The 16,653-nt window shown below is 40.9% G+C and overlaps 1 protein-coding gene and 1 non-coding gene across 7 annotated transcripts in view; both read right to left on the bottom strand.

The window, feature by feature from the left end:
* Positions 1–1,797: 1,797 nt before the first annotated feature.
* ANAPC1 (anaphase promoting complex subunit 1) overlaps positions 1,798–16,653 on the bottom strand; it is a 117,963-nt gene continuing 103,107 nt past the window's right edge. For 4 of the 6 annotated variants that reach the window (NM_022662.4, XM_011511633.3, XM_017004713.2 and 1 more), the window contains 5 exons: positions 15,866–15,952; positions 14,242–14,337; positions 12,426–12,624; positions 7,908–8,042; positions 3,207–4,973 (listed from right to left, as the gene is read on the bottom strand). In NM_022662.4, the coding sequence (NP_073153.1) occupies positions 4,858–4,973; positions 7,908–8,042; positions 12,426–12,624; positions 14,242–14,337; positions 15,866–15,952 (633 nt within the window). In that variant the 3' untranslated portion in view covers positions 3,207–4,857. Of the gene's footprint in view, positions 2,563–3,206; positions 4,974–7,907; positions 8,043–12,425; positions 12,625–14,241; positions 14,338–15,865; positions 15,953–16,653 lie in introns of those variants that run through there. The other 2 variants (XM_017004711.2, XM_017004710.3) reach the window with 1 other exon arrangement.
* Positions 6,628–6,701, bottom strand: MIR4771-2 (microRNA 4771-2). Its single transcript, NR_039929.1, has one exon. It is a non-coding gene; the product is annotated as a microRNA 4771-2 (primary transcript).

The raw sequence follows: 16,653 nt of genomic DNA on the forward strand, positions 1-16,653 counted from the left end.
TTGCACAGAACATGGAGTGAGAAAGGTTTGACCTCATCTTCTCTAGATCCAACGGGGCAGGCAGATGGCAGCTAGGGATGCTAACCATGATGGATTTGCTAACGCATCTTCCTTCAACTTTAGAGTTGCATACATTTACCCACATTTCCAGCTGATGAAACTGCCCTAATTTCTGAATTGGTACAGTAAGCAGCACTTACAATATTCTTATTTTTTGAGATGGAGTCTTGCTCTGTCACCCAGGCTGAAGTGCAATGGCACGATCTCGGCTCACTGCAATCTCTGCCTCCCTGGTTCAAGTGATTCTCCTGCCTTAGCCTCCCGAGTAGCTGGGATTACAGGCATGTGCCACCACACCTGGCTAATTTATATATATATATACACACACACACACACACACACACACATATATATATATGTATATATATATACGTGTATATATATATATATATATATATATTTTTTTTTTTTTTTTTTTTTTTTTTAGTAGAGACGGGGTTTTGCCATGTTGGCCAGGCTGGTCCCAAACTCCTGAACTCAGGTGATCCGCCCACCTTGGCCTTCCAAAGTGCTGGGATTACAGGCGTGAGCCACCACGCCTGGTCTAAAATATTCTTGATATGCACAAAAACGAACGTAAGACAAATGAAAGAAACACGAGTGGCACCAACTAGCTTCCAACCTCCATCCTTATGTTAAGCTCCCCTAATGAGCTAGTGTGCCTGAGTTCTTAAAGCACATGGCCTACAGCATCACAAGGAAGAGTGCCTGAGTGTGACAGATCCCTTAACTACAGAGACAAGGCAAGCACTGAGAATTAAGACTTTCCAGTTATTTATATATTTTATTGAATTTAGTATAAAAATTTTATTTTAGGCTGGGTGCAGTGGCTCATACCTGTAATCCTAGCACTTTGGGAGGCCAAGGCAGGAGAATCACCTGAGGCCAGGAGTCTGAGACCAGACGGCACCATAGCAATACTTCATCTCTACAAAAATTTTAAAAATTTAGCTGGGTGTGGTGGTATGCACCTGTAGTCCCATTTACTCAGGAGGCTGAGGCAGGAGGATCGCTTGAACCCAGAAAGTTGAGCCTGCAGTGAGCTGGAGTGAGCTATGGTCATGTCACTGACACCAGCCTGGGCAACAGAGGGAGACTCTGCTTCAATCAATCAATAACTTATTTTAAGATTTCATGTAATAATGTACCATATGAAATAGGAATAAATCTTTTTAGCTATGAGAAAAAAATGTAGATTAAGGTGGTTGTTATAATGTGACCAAGAAAGCAACACATAGATTAATTCAGTTAATCAAATTCCAATTACACAAAGCCTTTGCTTTTCCAAAGGTGTAAAGAAGAGTTAGTATGTCTGCTTCTCAAATGTGTTCATAAACTCTTCCTGGTGCCAAGTCCTTTTAACTTACATTTAATCACTGCTTTCTCCTAAGAGTCTGCTGGACTGGGAATGCAGGCAGTACTGGACCCGGTTCAGGGTGGAGTATAGGAAGTGTGGTTGAAAGTCAGCTTCATTAGGGTTGTGATGGGTGCTTTGGGGCAGTCAACCTCCCTCCCTGAGCCACAGGGATCTCACTGTAGGAGGGGCAGGACCGGTGCCATCTAAGGGATCTGTCAGCACCAACATTTGATGCAGGTGTCTGATCAGTGGGTCTCCTTGCCTGAAGCCTGAAGGTCCTGACTGCCCCAAGCAGCCCCTACTGCCCATTCCAGCTTCCCTTTCACCCAAAGACATAAGATAGAGGATGTTGGGCAGGCAAGTCCATCCTTATCCACAGGTAAGAGTTAAGGACACAGCTGTAGAGGCTTTTTATTTAAATTTTTTTTCTGCAGCTTGTGACGTAATGAGAAGCAACCAATCTATTTCAGAGAGGGGGGAACCCGGGCAGCCCTTGGAAGCAGGAAAAGGCCACCACTTGGGAACCTTTGTACACTAGCGTGGATATCTGTGGGGTGCTCGTGGGCGCTGAGAGGCAGCCAGCCCAGTTACACCGTCCAGAGTGGCCACCTCTCCCACCTCACCTCTGCTTCTTTCCCCTGGTGGCTGGAGGTAGCATGCGCTAAGGATACAGAGGGGATCAGATTCTGTGTCCTCCCCCACAGCTTAATTGGGGTGATCCTCACACAGTGAGACATTCCCCCCCAATTTGATCAGCATGAGGATGGGAGACCACAGAAGAGAGGCCTTCAACCCCACATGCGGGAGGCAACGAAGTCTTCCTGGTTTGGATTTTCACATGCTCTGGCTTCTACTCCAAATCCTGGCCCACACTCTGACCCATCTGCCCACAGGCACCCTGGCCTCCCATCAAGTGGGTGTGCACAGATCATCAGGCTGAGAGATGAAAGACCCCCACCTTATTGCTTCCTCTGGGATGTCAGGAGACCCCCTGAGCTGAGACATGCCCCTTACCATGAGCTGTGGAGTCAGCTAGTTACTAGACAAAGGGTGAGAAAATGGCCTTATTCAAGGAAGACTGGGCGGCACACGGCGAGGTTCTGTAGGGTTTCAACCTGAGTCTCCTGCTAGGTCCTTCAGAAGACCTGCAAGGGAGGAACGCAGATGTCAGCGTCTACTGGGGAAAGAACCACCACTCTGAGTGTATGTGTAAATTGTATGGTTTCTTTAATTATGTCTATGGAAGCGATGATACCTATTTCTATCTATCTAAGTAGAAAAGATGGGCATAGGGAATTAGTAAGTTAGGAACCATGATGTAACTGGCATAAGATCCTCACCAGCGTCTGCCTCTCCTCCCAGTCCTGGGCACATGAGGTAGAGCAGTGTGACTACTTCGGGCCAACAGGCTTTAACAGGAAATGATGTGTGCTATTTTGGGGCCAAAACACTTAACAGCCAAATGTTTTTCTGCAGCACTTCCCTTTGAGCCACGGCTCTAAGGAGGCTGCAGGTTCTGGATGGTGAGAGCCATACCCTCAGGATTTTTTGAGGCCCCAAAAATAGCTGCAATTGATTTATTTGATGATCCAGCAGGCCTACTCAAGGGCTGACTTCCCAGCCTCCCCTTTGCTCCCTGCTAGCTAATCAGACGGCCTAAAAATGCTGCTTCCAGACTATCTGCAGTCTTTCTGTCCTCTCTCTTTTAAAGCTGATATTTGCTTTCATCGACAATGTTCTAAAAGCTGTTCTCCCTTAGGTATGAGTTAATATGTGTGCAAACAACTAATGTCTCTCCAGTCATTCTTTATTCAGGAAAAGCACACAATCGTAAACAACGGAGAGTGAAGACAGTAACAACTGGTTTGATATTGAATTTTTAAAATCTTGATTCAAATGGAATTTTCATAATCTACCACTTAAAATTTATTTTTAATTAGAAGAAAACTATGTAACTGTGAAGAGAAGCACATTTCAGCCTCTCAGTCAGCCCCATCGTGCCTCTGCTTCACATCCAGGAAGAAGCGAGTCCTCGGGGCAGCCACGCAAATGCAAGGACAGAGAGTCCAGAGAATACCACTTGGCCTCCAGGTGCATGCCTTCCAAGTCTACTCTGCAGACGCAAATGTCATGTGGGTTTTTGCCAAAATCTCAATGGAAACATTTCTATTTGCTTTAATTTATTTTTAAAGTCAAACACCACAGTTCAGGATGTGGAAGAAATATGAAGTCAGTGGATGAAGGTCTTGCTTCTACCAGCTTATGATCCCACTGGCCATCCAGGAAGCACAGGACACATATCAGCATCTGAACAGCAGGGAGCATTCTTCCTCCTGTGTTGGCAACTCGAAGCTGGAGGTGCCTTTATATGAACATTTTTCATCATCATCTAGTCCAGAAATCCCTCCTTTTATAGACATACATTCTGTAAATCTTAGGTAAATATGGATTGTCTTGTTTTTAAATACAATTTCTAAAGAGCCCTCTGTAGTAATTTCTTATTTTATCTATTTAGAGCAGGCTTCACGTATTAGTCTGCCTGGGCTGCCATAACAAAATACCACAGACTGGGTGGTTTCAACGACGGAAATGTATTTTCTTGCAATTCTGGAGGCTGGAGGTCCACGATGAAGGTGCTAGCCAAGTCTGTTCCTGATAAGGGCTCTTCTTGGCTTGCAGACGGCCGACTCCTCACTGTCTTCACATGGCAGAGAGAGAAAGAAAAATCTCTCTTCCTCTGCTTAGGAGGCCACCAATTCTACTGAATTAAGGCCCCACCCTTATGATGACCTCACTTAACCTTAGTAATCTCCTATATGCCCTATTGCCTAATACAGTCACACAGGGATTAGGGCCTCAATATATAATTCTGGGAGGACACAATTCAGTCCACAGTACTTCATGTTGAGCAACTGAGGGCAAAAATCTCCTTCTCCTGTTTAAGGTGATCACATCATAAGAGTGTCTGGCATTGTCACCAGAAGTACAAACTTATTTTAGACAGGACAACTGTGACATCTGAGGAAATGCTAAAGCGCTCTTTTGCCACAGAAAGTAAAACTTTATGACATAGCTTCTTTTAAAACTTGGCATTTTTGGGCATAGTCACTTCACCTATACCACCACAGTTCAAAGACTTTAAAAATCAATATTCACTCCAGCAACCCCTGCTCTATTCTCTAAGTCCAAAACTAAAGCAATCATCAAGAGTTTTGGAAACAAACCAAAAACTTTATTTACAAAAGTAAATTTTAACTTGCTTTTATATGTCATATACCGTTAATGATGACAGCAACAGATTTAAAATACATTGAGGTTTGTGCAGCTCATTTCCCCCTAGTTATACCATAAAACTTTATAAACATTGCTTTAGCTTTGATGTTTGGTCACGTTTGTTGTGCAGAAGTCACGTTTCAGGGTAGGTTCACCGCCAGACACGGTCACATCACCATTGGCTGTGGATTTCCAAGAAGCAAAGGAGCCAATCTCAGCAAAGCTCGCACTGGCATTTTTAGCTGCTTAAATTTGAAGAGCAGTTCAGCAAAGCTTGTGCTCCCTAAAATGGAAATGGGGTGGGAAGGTCACATCTCTAAATAAATTCAGCCATACCTCTCCTTTCAAGGAAGCTTCAGAAACACAATCATGTTTAAAACAGGCATTTTTCCCTTTGAAAATGACTATGCAAAGACAATATTTAAAATTATGAAATTCCTTAATACACTGTAATGTAAATTGAGTATCCCTTTTCCAAAATGCTTCTGAAGAGAGGTGTTTTGGATTCTGGATTTTTTTAGATTTTGGAATATCTGCATTACACCTACTGGCTTTCTTTTTTTTTTTTTTTTTTTGGAGACGAAGTCTCACTTTGCCACCGGGGCTGGAGTGCAGTGGCGCTCTCTCGGCTCACTGCAAACTCCACCTCCTGGGTTCACCCATTCTCCTGCCTCAGCCCCCCGAGTAGCTGGGACTACAGGTGCCCACCACCACGCCCAGCTAATTTTTTTTGTATTTTTAGTAGAGATGGGGTTTCAACGTGTTAGCCAGGATGGTCTCGATCTCCTGACCTCGTGATCCGCCCGCCTCGGCCTCCCAAAGTGCTGGGATTACAGGCGTGAGCCACTGCGCCCAGCCTCGGCTGAGCATTCTTAATCCAAAAATCCCAAATCCAAAATGCTGTAATGAACATTTCCTCTGAGCATCATGTTGGTGCTCAAAACGTTTTCGATTTCAAACACTTCAGATTTCAGATTAAGGATACTCAAACCTGTATATGATTTGATAGAATTTACCCATTCTAGACTTCAGAAAGTGACCTATAACTACATGTGAAACTACTAATATTGTTTAATTTTATATATATATATATATATATATATATAAATTCTTTAAATATAATGTGCAAAAGTGCCTGTCTACCTTCAAATACTATCTAAGTGGTATTTTACTGGTTCTAATACAGTTGACCATTGAACAACCCTGTTTGTCCAGCCTGGCCTGAAAAGAAGTCTATACTTTTAAAATGTCTTCCTTTTCCTTTTAGTAGTTTGACTATTAATGTGACTAGGTATGGTTTTCTTTGTATTTATCCTGCTTAGGGTTCACTGTGGGTTAATATTTAACACAATTTTTCAAAATTCTTAGCTTCTGTCTCTTCAAATATTGCTTCTAACTCATTTTTTCTCTCCTCTTATTCTCTTATTCCAACCCCATGCATGTTTATTTTTTTTTCACGGTTTCCACATGTCTCTTGTACTCTTCTCTGTATTTCCTAACCATTCTTCCCTCTGTGCTTCAGTTTGTTTACTTTCTACTTGTCTTCCAGCAGATAAGTGTCTTCCAGTTCACTTCAAATAATCCAGTACTGAGATCTTCATTTCAGTTACTATATTTTTCAGTTCTAGAATTTCCATTTAACTCTTTTTTATTGACCCCAGGTTTCTGGTGAAATTCCCTATCATTCCTTCTATTTTCCTGGAAACATTAGACATAGTTATTTTAAGTTCCAGTATGATAACTCCAATATCTGAATCACACATAAGTCTGTTTCTATTATCTGTTTTTTTATTATTATTATGTTTCGTAATTTTTGATTCAACACTGAATCCTGTAGACTAAAAATTGCGGGGGCTCTGGGTATGTTTTCTTTCTCCTATGAAGGTTACATTTTCTTCTGTCAGGTGGGGAGAAAGCACACAGATCACCTTAGTTCTGCTCTAGGCTAATTGTAGGTCAAGTCTGCTTGGAGTGAAACTGAAGCAGACCAGATCTAAAATTAGGCTAGAGCAGGCTTAGGGCTTGGCCATGTATTAATTCACCTGAGGAGCTGGGATGCTGATCAGAGCCACTTCACTTTAACAAGCGTTGAATTCCACCCTTTGTCTCCTCAGTCCTATGCTGCTGCTGACATTTTTGCTTACATTTTTGGCCTTGTGGCTTCTGCTAGATCTCTTGAAGTCTTATCCCATGTATATGAAGGCTAAAATATCATTAAGTAACTCAAGGGAAAGGTATATCCAGAGTCTGAGTTATGATTTCTATTGTTCTCTCCTGCCTGAGACTGTGTTCCTCAAGTTCTAGGCTCTTGGGCAATCACAAACCCAACCTCTGGCTCCTCAGCCCTGCAGCATTGCTGCTTTTTGCTGGCACTCTACTTCTTGTACTATGAACTGGCAAATGCCTTTGGGGGAGAAGCTAGGGTGAATATAAAGCTCTCCCTGTTGTACTTCCCTTTTCTTATTTTTTTTTTTTAGCTTTTATATTTGTTTTTGAGGGCAAGTGAGTCCAATACAAGCAATTCCATCATGGCCATAACCAGAAGTCTCTAGATAGTAAACTTTTATCAGAGGCTTGCAAAACAGCAAAAAACTAGTAATGTAATTAAACTTCAAGTTTAAATGATTAAATGGAACAATCTTTGCCCTTATCAAAAAATATTTTTTTTGAGAATCTCAAAAAAATTGGGTGCTTAGAATTCATCATATCTTAGTATTCAGCTTAATGGATAAATTTTTTTTATCTGTTTCTATATTCTGAAAAATACAATCAGGTGATAATACTATTAATTTTTAAAACTATTATAAAAAAATTCAAACACAAAATTAGGTATTTATTAGTTGTAAAGCTTTGTAATATTAGAAATTAAGATTATATGTGATTCTAAAAAACCCAACTGAAAACCTAGAAAATAAAGAAAAATAGCTTTAATAAAAAAATCAATTAGTAAAGAATAATATGGAATATTTAGTTTATTAGTATAGATCAGTGTTTGGGGCTCTGTGAAGAAGAATCCATCCTTTTCTGAATAAAAATGAAAGTTATTCATATATAAAGTTGATAATTTTTTCTTTTTTGCTCCAAAACAGTCCCTAACAATGACACTGCAACATTAATGAAGAGGAAAGTCAAACTAGGGGCAGTAACTACTGAGAAACTAGAACATAAAGGGGTAGGTAACAGAGTTACTGAAGATAAGACTTAGATATGCAATTACCTTCTAGTCCTATAGGTGGCAGGTGCTGTGGAGCTGGCACAGAGTGGTAGACGAGGAAGCAGGCCAGCATGCTCAGCTGTGATTCCTCCAAGGGCTGCCCGCTGAGGTAGGCGTGCACACACATATCACCCCCGACTGTGAGAGAAACAAATGGAACGGAACCAACTGATGACAGAACTGAGAGGCACAAGAAATATCTTCTATTACTTTTTCATCAAGAACTTATTGAACGCTCAGCATATATAAAGCAGGTTCTATAGCCGGTATTGAGGCTACTCTGACAAGCTAGACTGAGTCCCTGTCATTGTAGAGTTTAGAGTGTTGTTGGGGGAGACAGATATTACACAAATAATGACACAAACAAATGCATAATTACAAATTGTGAGGAGTGCTATAAAGGTGCAGTGGTCACTGTGGTTGTCTCCCCGAAATACCCCTTGTCACACCCTACCCTCCACCATATATTATATTTGATGGGACTGACTTCAGCTCCAGAACTAGATCCTTACTAGTCTTGGCCAGGGGTCCTCAAACTTTAACATGTGCCAGAATCACCTGGAAGGCTTGTTAAACCACAGATGAGTGGGCCCCACTCCATGCACAGAGCACAGAGATTCTTATTCAGTAGGTCTGGGGTGGGGCCAGAAAAACTCCATTTCTAACAAGTGCCCAGGTCATGCTGCTCCATAAACCACACTTTGAGAATCACTGATCTTGGGTGATCAAGGCAATCCCATTCTCCTGATGCAGTGTTAGTTCAGAGACAGGCAGACCCAGGCCATTTTTTCAATAAGAGACATTCTCTGCCACAGGGATAGATTGAGAGGTGTGCATGAGATGCAACTCGAGCCAGAAACCTGAGGAGGTACTTAATGACAAGCTTGCTGGAGGCTCCAGGGAAAGAAATTCCCTCATTCTCATCACAAAACTCCTAGAAGCAACTCTATTCTTCCTCTGAGTATCATGCTGAGCTAGAGGTGAACATGTTACAGCCATTTGATTACCATCCGAAAAATGCACTGAGGATAAAGTCATGGCACAGAATGTAGCTGATGGAACCTCAGAGAAATGGAGTTGAAGACACTGGAAAAAGATGACCCTTTACGTGCCTTACCTGCAGACCTCTAATAACATAGGCATACTTGTGTCCTTACTGTTTAAAGGCAGGTTAAGTCAGGCCTTCTTTTACTTGCAAACAAAGGCATTTTGATACAGAAAAAAGGTAGAGAGCATGAGCGGGCAGGCTAAAGATGTCAGGAAAGCTGCCTGAGGGAGAGTGGTCTTGGAAGGCCTGGGAGGAAATGCCATTAAAACTGAGGCTGCATGGATAAATATGAGTTGGGCAGGTGAAGAATGAGAGGAAAAGGTTCTAGGGAGGGAAAACAGCATATTCAATGGCCCCACAGTGAAAAGGAGCTCAGTGTTTTTGAGTAAGTGGAAGGGGCCAGGGTGGTGTGGGGAGCAAGTGGTGTAAAAGAGGCTTTGTTGAGGAAAACAGGCGCCTTGCAGGTCACACAGGTCCTGGTGCCACACAGTAGGGATTTCTTTCACAGCTGAATCAGGAGCCATTGAAAAGCTTTAAGCAGGAGTGTTACATCAGTTTATTCTTTAAAAGACTGTTCTGTCAGTTAAATTGAGATGGTTGGAATGGAGATGAGAAAAAGCAAGGAGGCTATTTAGGAGGCTATAACAGTGGTCCAGGCACAAAATCATCATTCTGTTCTAGGTAGAAATAGTAAAATGTGGACAAATTCAAGAAATATCTATGATGAGGATTGAAAGGCATCAGCAATGGGTCAGCTATTGCAGAGAAGGGAAGGAGGGAAAGGAGCAAGGATGACTTCCAAAAGGGTCAACAAAGGAGTGACAGTGAAATGGTGACAAATACTGAGAATTTTTAAAGAGGATTTTTTTTAAAAATTGGGAAAGTGTGCTATGACAAAGTCAAGGGAGGCTCATTTCAAGAAGGAAAATGTAGCTAAAAGCCTCACCATTGTAGAGATGGAGTGAGATGAAAACTGTAGACTCCACTGAACACAGTTGTGAGGATGTCAGTCTACTGGGAGGTGGAAACATTTAGGTTTGGGGGAGGCAGCAGAGGGAGAAAGGTTAAGGGAGAACAGATGAGATTCTTCTTTGAACAGCTCATCATGAAGGAGAGCATGGTGGTTCAGCCTCTCTTCAATGACTTTCTCATGTCTACCAGCATTTTGTTTCACTGATTTTCTCTATTGCTTATCTGTTTTTGGTTTCATTGGTTTCTGCTTTTATTTGCTTGCTTTGGGTTTACTTTGCTTTCCTACTGCACTTGACAAGTCTTAAAAAAAAAAAAAAAAAAAAAGGACAATGCCAAAAATTGCATTGCAATCCACTGCTGGTGGGAAAGTAAAATGGCACAATTTGGAAAATTGAGTGTGGCAATGGGTGAAGGTACAAATGACGCAAAAATAGGAGAATGCTGGCAACTATTAAAATTGGTGTTGTGGTTTATTACACTAGTCTACTTACTTTGTATATTCTTTAAATTTCCATAACAAAATATGAAAAAGTTAATAAAACTTTTTAAAGTTCTTAAACTTGAAACCCGCTTTCTTTGCCCAAAATTATAATTTGAGGAGATAAATACTGTACAAAACATTTATATAGGCCAGGCGCCATGGCTCATGCCTGTAATCCCAGCACTTTGGGAGGCCAAGGCACGTAGATCATGAGGTCAGGAGTTCGAGATCAGACTGAACAACATGGTGAAACCCCGTCTCTACTAAAAGTACAAAAATTAGCTGGGTGTGGTGGCGTGCACCTGTAATCCCAGCTACTCAGGAGGCTGAGGCAGGACACTCGCTTGAACCCAGGAGGTGGAGGTTGCAGTGAGCTGAGATCGCGCCACTGCACTCCACCCTGGCGACAGAGCGAGACTCTGTCTCAAAGAAAGAAAAAACAAAACCGACATTTATATAATATAAATTGGCTGCATTTTCAGATTAGTGTAGTGATTTAATGGGTTATCTCAGATCTAATGAGTTGTCAGTGAGTGATCCTGAAAGTCCACATATGCATCTGTGATTTTTACACACAAATATGAATGCAATTTCCAATTTTCAGTTAATTTATTGTTCTCTACCCCAAAGCCAACTGCTAGTGCTTGTAAGAGAGGAGACTATATATTTAAGAGGTTTTGTTTTAAAAAAAATTCTAGTTTTTCACTAAAAAATAAACACATTTTTGATAAATCTGTGTGGCAAGTCAAATTCAATGGAGGCTGACAGCAATGCTGGAAACCACCAAATGCGCTAAAGAGCAACAAGGCAATCAGGGCCCTGTTTTAGAGAATGTTCTAATCACTGCCAAAGTTCCATACATTATATGAAATGTGCAAATCAGGGAATCTGCAAAGATTTAAGGAAGTATTTATTATCAATAGCAAAGGTCTGCCATAGGTGATCAAATGTTAAATTGAATAAAAACGAAACACGAAAACCTTTGAAATAACATGTTTTTCCCCAAAAATGAGGATAAAAATGACTATCCAAAAAATTATGAAGCTATATGATCTTTGAATCTGAACAGGAAATGACAAATACAATGCAGCTTTTAAATATAAACATGGAGAGTCTGAAATCAGGCTTTCCAAGTATATCCCTCACAACTTGGTTTACAATTTAATTTTTTTCAGAAATTTATTTCCTAGTGTTACAGGTGGATAGTTTTAAACTCAATTATATTCAAACGCTTAGGGTCTATTGATTACTAATAGTTTTCACTAATCAAAGCAAGAATTGTTTCTACTACTATTACTAAGGTTAGTATTAACCCAAAGCAAGCAACTGTCAGATATTTACTGGGAGCATTTGAATGAACTAAAAAGAATGAAAAGATCAAGGAGTCTACTCCTGAAAATCAGTTTCAGGTGTATTTAACACACAGATACATTTCCATAAATCTAAAGGCCCCATCGCTTGCCTCATGTAAGTCAGAATCACTTCTACACTGTTAACGAGTAACTACAATTTCCTTGCAATCACAAATCCTGCTGATAGAAAGCCACCACTGTGACATCACATAGCTGTGCGGTCCCAGGTTTTCAAAACTGAGTTGGTACAACAAGCTCACTCAGCAAGCACACGTCAACTTCTACATGTACATGTGGTGCCAGTACAAAAACAGGATGGCTGCTGGCCTCAGGAAGGCAACAGGCCACACCCCTAGGAAACAGGAGACAGAGGCACTGGAAAGGAAATGTGACCTGATGCTAGGGAAGAGAGAACAAGGTCCTGAGCACCAAGTGGTATTTAAAATGCTATAAATATTATCTGCCTGGGTCAGATGTATTTTACTAAAGAAGCTAAAGTAGATAATCAAAGTCTAATTCATCTAGCTGGAAACGTTAAATCTATAGCCATTCTTGCTTATACTCAGATTTATCTTGCTTACCAATGAAAAAACAAAGTTACAACAGAAAAGCCTGAACCGAATGTATCTCAAAAGCACAAGAGCGCTATGCTACAATGCTACTATTACCTTGTAGCCACTGGTCCAGGGTATTATCAATGGTGCACTTCACAACAGGGAGGAATTCCGAGTTCATAAAGAGCCCCCGCTTAGGGTGGTTCTGCAGCCGCTCCTGATGGCTTCGGGAGCTGAAAAACTCTAACACCAACTTTATCTGCCAAAGTTCAGAAGTCTCAGACATTTCTCTTCTCCCAAGTCTTCTTATAGCCTTGAAGAGGAAAGAGGACAACAATCTATTTAATCAAAGAGTGCTCTGTCTCTTCATCAGAGTTGTAGACTGAGTATTTTTTAAATGTGGCTCCGAATTATAAAGGGTCGGGGGGTGGTCCATTCTGTGTTTTGATGCAGTCTGCCCACAGAGGAGCCGTCACTGGGTACAGGTGCATGGCTCACCTCCTTCAATATGGCCCTACATGAGCAGCTTGCAGGGAAAAGTAACAAAGGTGAATGAGCTCATTCTTGGCTCAACAGCTCCGAATAACCAAGACCCAAAAGGTCATAGCCAGTCACCTCTGGGAAACTCGAGCTGGGTACAATGACATGGCAGAGATCCCAGGGGGTAGAGGGCAAGAAGAACACTACTAATAATACTGCCCTTGAGATCCATCTGCAAGTCACTACAGCTGCAACCAGAGAAGATATTCATGCATAAAGACCTGCCACCCATGACTGTAAAGGTGTGAGGGTTCAGAGAGTAAAAAGACACATTCTCAGCCAGCAACATTCTCATCCAGCAAATAACACAACTTGTTATTTGGCTGCTATACAAAGAGGCACTGTGAGAAGCAGTGCCAGCGTGGATACCATATATCCATACTTTCCAACCAAAAAAGGGTGGATTCCAGACAATAATGGCATTCTGGGCCTACTTAGTTATATTGGAACTTGGTTTTTAATGATGTTACTTAACACTGTGTGTTTTCTGGTTTGGGGGAATTATCCTCTGACTAAATATATTTTTCCATTCAGCTTTTTAGCAAATTATTTTTATCATTAAAGGTTATTTCTCTTAGACACTGAGTCTCAGATGCTCAGCTGTGAACTTACTATATTCACTTAAAGAGCTGTTTAAAACTAGATTCTGGATCTCACCCCAGAAATTCTGATTCAATAGATGAGGCATGGAATTAAAGGATCTGTATTTTTAAGATACCAAGGCAAATTTCTGCCAGGTTAGAAAACTACTGGCTTGGCTTAACTCCAAATCTGGGTCTGAAAGATATGATAATACTGAAAAGGTGTATGTATTACTAATTTGCCTAAAGTGAATAAATTGGTCTGATCCTTTAAGAACATTATTAAGCATTATTTTCTGCATTACCCCTTTAGGCTCTTTTAAAATAGCAATAACAAGAGAAATTTAAAAATGAACTCCAATGCCTAGATAACTGCATATGGACTCTGTAACCTCTTGCAAGCTTTATCACATAGGTCTAATTTCACAGTACTGCCATCGCTAGGGCTCTGTTCACTAACGGCTCACATGCAGACTTCTACAAAGAGGCATTGCCAGGAGGGAGGCAAAAATAAGATGGGAGAGAGGAAGGGAGTGCTCCCCTCCTCTCCTAGTCAGGGGAGACAAAAGGGAGGAATGGGAACCCTTAAAGGAAGACAGCCCCCCAAGGGGCACTCCTGTCAACATAAAGCCCAAGCTTTTTGGATTTTTGAGAGCTTTCAAATTTTATATGGTTTCCTTTCTTAAATTTCCAAAAGCAAATGGGAAACTAAAAGGAAGGACACTAGGAACCTTACCACACTATTCAGTGAGTTACTTGAACTACAGGACAAATTTCACCAGAATTGGTATAGGTTTTTGGATCCATACCTGATCCATTGCGATGTATGCAGGCAACATCTCTGGGGTCTCCTGGGTAACACATTCATAGAGTACTGAAGAAAAGAGATCCAGAATTTCCTGTTTCTGCAGAAAATCAGAAGTTTTGTAGCACAAAGTATATTCCAAAATCAATTCAAAAACGAATTGTATAGCACTACTATGGCCCATTCTTAAGTTTTATAATGAATGACATAAAAGTAACACTACAATCTTTTAAAAAAGCCACAGCACATGTAACATTAAACATTAATTAAAAAAAAAAAATTAAGTCCCAAGAGACAGTTAAGGATAGTAAGTGCTACAGAAGAGAGGAATGGACCAAACTAGGACAAAATGAGTAGATAGGACATCACAGAGCTATGCCTTGGGTTGGGCTGGGAAGAGTAGGATCCAGAAAGGAAACAGAGTAACAAAGCTGCAAGAAAAAAAACACTGTCCAGAACAAGTTTAGGGGAGGCGGCAGAGTCAAGTCCAGCTGGGGTTAAGGGTGGGCATGGGCTTTATTAGAGACCCGTGACCTGGAGTGCACAGCCCAGCTCTTACTAGCTGTGAGATCTTGGGCATGTGACATCTCTCAGTGGCAGTTTCCTCATCTGTAAGCCCAGAATGATAAAATACCTATTCTCAGGGTCATAATTAAATGACATTTAAGTATTAGCAGAGTGTCCCATGTATAGTAAAGATTCAATAAAAAAGAGAGGGGAAGGTTATTTCACTTAATCCTCAAAACAATACTGTAAGGTAGGTTCTATTATAATCACTTTTAGAAATGAGGAAACTACATTTTGGAGAGGTTGAGAAATTTTCTGAAGGCCATATATGCATCCAATCTTTCCTTGTCTCTATGGTGGATTAAGTCAAAGATCTGGGCCAGGCACAGTGGCTCGTGCCTATAATCCCAGCACTTTGGGAGTCCAAGGTGGGAGGATCATTTGAGCCCAGAAGTTCAAGACCAGCCTGGGCAATATAGTGAGACTCCATCGCTACAAAAAATTTTTTTAAAAAAGTAGCCAGGCATGGTGGCTACATGCCTGTAGTCCCAGCTACTCAGGAGGCTGAGGTGGAAGGATGGCTTCACTCCGGGAGGTCAAGGATGCAGTGAGCCATGATCACGTCACTGCACTCCAGCCTGGGCAACAGAAAAAACCGACCCTGTCTCAAAAAACAAAAAACAAAAAAATAAAGAAAAATCTGCTAAGCACCCTTGGAATCTTGAAGGTAACAGGTGTATGAACAATAAAAAGCAGGGTTATAATATACAGAGGAAACAGTTAATGAAATTACATAAAAATAAGAGAAAGGTGGTAAACACTGAAAACATAAAGCAGAATATGGATGGGTATCATTCTTGTAGATGACAGAAACTATCATCTGTCAAAACTGATGTCTTATAAATTTTAAGTTGTTTCTTCTATCAAGGTAGAAAGTTGCTGAATTTAATAGTTTTAGGCTATGCAAATCTATACGTGCCAAGCAAAAGTCATCCAATGTGACTGACGCATGTCATCAATCTCAAAGATAGATATAGATAGTAGAGATGTTTTGGGTGACCCATGCATAGAAATAATAACAAATTCTAGTCCTGGGGCTCGGCAAACCATAGAATATATACCTGACCCATGTTCACAGTTGGCTTGCAGAAATATTCAGCAAATGACAGAAGTGCTGGATCAGAAGTGAATGCTGAGATTGTTTCTGGCTAAAAAAACAAACAACCACAACAGTATAAGACAACAAAAGATTATTTTCCTTACGCTTAAACTGTAATACACACAGTTCTAACAACTCTACCTCCCCTTTGTCACCCAACATTCCCAAAAAATCCCAGATGATGCAAACTTGCCTCATCAACCTGTTCTGCTAAGAAGTTACAAGAAGCTTTTGCACAAGTTAACATGAGCTACTAATTTATCAAAAGGCCAATAACAAACAGGTCTTCCTGTTTACACAACTCATCCAAAAAAGGCTTTTCCCTCCTTCACTGACTAATTAAAAAGCCTACCAGAAACTAGAATTGTTACTGAAAAGGTAAGGAAAAAAGAATATCACTCAAGCCAGCCACAAAAAGATAAACAGTGTATGAAACCACATAAATGAGGTACTTAGTATAATCAAAATCACAGAGACATAAAATAGAACGGTGGTTGCCAGGGACTAGGGGAAGTAGAATGAGGGGTTATTGTTGCAGGTATAGATCTCAGGTCTGCAAGATGAAACAGTTCTAGAGATGGATGGTGGTGATGGTTGTGCGTTATTGTTGCAGGTATAGATCTCAGGTCTGCAAGATGAAACAGTTCTAGAGATGGATGGTGGTGATGGTTGTGCAACAATGTGAATGCACTTAGTATTACTGAGCTGTAACTTGCAATGGTTAAGACAATAAATTGTGTGCATTTTACC

This window comes from Homo sapiens, chromosome 2, assembly GCF_000001405.40.
Source record: "Homo sapiens chromosome 2, GRCh38.p14 Primary Assembly".
NCBI classification, from domain to species: Eukaryota; Metazoa; Chordata; class Mammalia; order Primates; family Hominidae; genus Homo; species Homo sapiens.